Below are 4,111 nucleotides of genomic sequence, written 5' to 3'. Positions count from 1 at the left end.
ACCCTAAGGATCCGGGAGAGGCCTTTGATCAACAGCCTTTAGGTCATCCCAGCACAGAAGCCAGGCATATGAGTGAATGAGCCTGCAGATGGTTCCAGCACCCTGCTCTGCAAGTTGCTGCCAGTCATTTGTGCCTTCTCTCCTGAGGCACTGACATCGTGTAGCAGAGATGCACCTTTCCACACTGTGCCCTGAGTGTCCTAACCCATAGATTCCATGAGCATAATGAAATAGTTGTCTTGTCCCTCCTACATTTGGGGCTGTTTGTTGCATAGCAGTAGACAAAGGGCAACAGGAATCCACATCACTGCTGGGTTATTATGTGGCTTAAATGAGTTAATGATTACAAATTTAAATGTTTTTAAACTCAATGATTCCAACCATTTTCCAGGTTAGGAATGGAGATTGCTAAGTAGAAGAATTTTTTTTTTTTTTTTTTAACTAATGATTTGGTCAAATTTCTAGCAATTTAATTTTTATGTTTTCCTTGTACTATGTATTTGCTCCATTAAAAACTTGGAAGGCTCCTGGCTTCCTCTTTAGGAATATTGTAGATAATTGGTGTTATGCCCACCTCAGCATGGGGTGCTTTCAACATGGATGGCCTCTTTTGTCTTTGTAACTGTGGGCAGTCGAGTGTGTCACATCTAGGGAAGTGTCTCATTAGTATAGACTCCTGGATAATTAAATAGTCAGCATGGATCAATCAATAGATCATTTCTGGTTTTCAGAAATTAATGTTTCTTCTCTACAACTATTGTCTTTGAAAAATGAAAAACTGAAGTTTGTCCTTGATCTGAGATGCCCACCAGCAACCACTCCATCTCTCTACAAACTCTACAGAAAAGTTTATAGAACAAATTTTGCAGAAAAGTTCTTGAAAGAATTGTCTGGACTTGTCACCATTTACTCTCTTCCCGTTCTCCATCAACTCATTTTAAGCAGAACTTGGTCTACACTGTTCTACTGAAACCAACTTCTTTTATTTATTTATTTATTTTTGAGATGGAGTTTCGTTCTTGTTGCCCAAGCTGGAGTGCAATGGCATAATGTCGGCTCACTGCAACCTCCACCTCCTGGGTTCAAGCGATTCTCCTACCTCAGCCTCCCGAGTAGCTGGGATTACAGGCATTCGTCACCACGTCCGGCTAATTTTTGTTATTATTATTTTTTTTAGTAGAGATGGGGTTTTGCCATGTTGGCCAAGCTGGTCTTGAACTCCTGACCTCAGGTGATCCGCCCACCTCAGCCTCCCAAAGTGCTGAGATTACAGGTGTGAGCTACCAAGCCCAGCCTAAAACCACCTTCTATTCAGATCACCAGTGGCCTTCATGTGGCTATATCCAGCCATTGATTTGACATCCTCAGCTCCATCCTCCATCTTCAAGTGGCCTCACTTGACTATATGACCCAGTTGGTCATCCTTTCCTGGTAGAATCATTTCTTCACTTGGCAGCCAGAACCTCACTCTCTGTTGCCCTCCTCCACCTCACTAGCATCTCTTCATCTGTTCGATGAGTCTTCCATTTACATGCTAACGACTCCTCAATTGTTCTCTCAAACCTGAATCTTTCCTCTATACTCCAGACTCTTACATTCAACTACCAGCTTAGTAGGCATCTCAAGCTTAACATGTTCAAAACGGAACTGCTGGTATCTCCCAAGATTACTCCTACCCCAATCTTTCTTTCTTAAAAAATGACTACTGCTTTCTTCCAAGTGAGCAACCTGAAAGTCTAGAGGCATCCCTGACTCCTGTCCTCTCCTGTCCTGATGGATCTACCTTCAAAATACATTAACAATCTGTCTACTTCTCACCACTTCCACTGCCACCATGCTGTTCTAAGCTACTTCATCTCCCACCTCATCTATTGCAGCGGACTCTTCTTTCTGCTTCCATTTGTGTCCCTTTGTGGCCTATTCTCCTGGTGATATTTTAAAATCATATGCTAGGTTAGATTATTTCACTCCTTAGCTCCAAACCTCTCAGTGGCTTTTCATCTCACTCAGAGTAAAAACTAAATTTCTAGACCAGGTGCAGTCGCTCATGTATGTAATCAACCCTAGTACTTTGGGAGGCCAAGGCGGGCAGAGGTCAGGAGTTTGAGACCAACCTGGCCAACATGGTGAAACATCTCTACCAAAAAATACAAGTATTACCCAGGCATGGTGTTGGTGCACGCCTGTAGTCCCAGCTACTTGGGAAGCTGAGGCAGAAGAATCGCTTGAACCTGAGAGGCAGAGGTTGCAATGAGCCGAGATCGTGCCACTACACCCCAGCCTGGGCAACAGAGTGAGACCCTGTCTCAAATAAATAAATAAATAAATAAATAAATGAAGTTCTCATAGTGGTCTGTAAATTTGACATAGACTTCTGATTCTCCTTTAAAAAAAAAAATTAAACAACAACTCAAAGCAGAGGCCTCTGATTGTCAGCTGCACTTCTGACCAGATCCCTCAGCGTCTGCCCTGCTCTCACTCTGCTCCAGCCACAGGGCTCCAGGGCTCCACTGCCATTCCTCAGGGCCTTGCATTTACTGTTTCCTCTGCCTGGAATGCTCTTTCCCTCGGTGGCTTATTTCGAACTTTGTTCGTATTTCTGTTCACATGTCCCTCTCTGAGAAAGACTTCCTGTGAACTCCCAACTGAAAGATCCTTCTCTTTTCCTGATGCTTTGCTTTTTTTTTTTTTCTTGGAGGTTAACACAGCCTGACATATGTATTTATTATATACCTTTAGTTCCTATATTATAAACCCTATTATGCAGGAACTGCATTTTTAATTTATATATATATTTTTGGAGGCAACCCTTCCTGCCTCAGGTGAGAGCACCGTAGGATCCTCAGCCTCTCCTTTGGTCCTATACCCCCTTGGGGACCTCCCCAAGGAGGAGGAGCCAGGGGCAGTGGTAGAGGATAATTTATATTTTTAAACAGTTGTATCCTCTGCACCTGGAACAGTGACTGGGACATAATAGGCATGTAAAAGGAATCTGTTAAATGAGTAAATAAGCAAGCAAATCAAAGAAAAGATTCCTCTTTGCATTAGGCCAAGTTTGCAGAGTGCTGTTTTAGATGATGTATATGAAAGAGAAAAGTAAACTAGAAAAAGCCTTGCAAATTTCAGTACTTATTGTTGCTGCCTTTTGGGAAAAGCTCATGTCACCATGGCAAAGAAAGATGGGGTCTTGGATTTGAATTTTTTCTGTGAGGCCACCTAGTGCAACTCTCTCTGATGGCTGTATATATCCAGAAATATCTCATTTAATCACCCCCAAGGAGCCCATCCTCTAGCCTTTTTCTTTTCTTTTTAAACAGTTACTTTATGCTTGATATGTATTGACATGGAAAGGGCTTTTAAGAAAAGGAAGGGGTTTCGTGCTCCTTCCCCCACACCTTGTCCTATGCATCGCTGCATCTGACATGAAATGACTTTGAAATCTGAAATACCCATGATATCTTGGGTGATGTCAGAAAAATGCTCTAATGGGGATGCAAGTGCCCAGAGTATTTCCTAATAAAATAGAAATGGTTTATACAAGATCATGCAACTAGGGGAATGCAAGGAGGAGATACTCACAAGCACGAAGCCTCGTTTCTCTCCCAGGACTGGCTCTGGAACTGTGGGAGGTGCTGCCAGATTCTATCAACACTTGGACAGTACAGTATGAACAGCTCCTGACTGACCAACAAGGAGCTGCGTGGTTTACAGATGGCAGCTCCAAGGTGAATGGACAGCATCCTGTTTGGAAGGCTGTTATTTTGATCAAAGAAGGTAAAGGCAGATCAGCTCAGTGGGCTGAATTGCATGCTGTTTTCCTAAAAGTCATGGAAGAATTAAACAATAGTAGAAGCCTCTGTTTTTGTTTTTTTTTTTTTTTTTTGAGATGAAGTCTCACTCTGTTGCCCAGGCTGGAGTACAGTGGCACGATCTCAGGTCACTGCAACTTCTGCCTCCCGAGTTCAAGTAGTTCTCCTGCCTCAGCCTCCTGAGTAGCTGGAATTATAGGCAGGCACCACCATGACCAGCTAATTTTTATATTTTTAGTAGAGACGGGGTTTCACCGAGTTGGCAAGGCTGCTCTCGAACTCCTAACCTCAAGTGATCCACC

The 4,111-nt window shown here is 43.0% G+C and overlaps 1 annotated feature.

The window, feature by feature from the left end:
• Positions 323-918: an enhancer, noted in NCBI's record as "OCT4-NANOG hESC enhancer chr8:128620950-128621545 (GRCh37/hg19 assembly coordinates)". NCBI's record gives its function as "activates a minimal SCP1, AML or CMV promoter by ChIP-STARR-seq in naive H9 embryonic stem cells {active_cell/tissue: H9 hESC(naive)}" and the evidence as "EXISTENCE:reporter gene assay evidence [ECO:0000049][PMID:30033119]".

The sequence above is a fragment of the Homo sapiens genome, chromosome 8 (genome assembly GCF_000001405.40).
Source record: "Homo sapiens chromosome 8, GRCh38.p14 Primary Assembly".
Classification (NCBI taxonomy): Eukaryota; Metazoa; Chordata; class Mammalia; order Primates; family Hominidae; genus Homo; species Homo sapiens.
The sequence above is the reverse complement of the archived record's forward strand: the minus strand, read 5'-3'. Positions and strand labels throughout refer to the sequence as shown.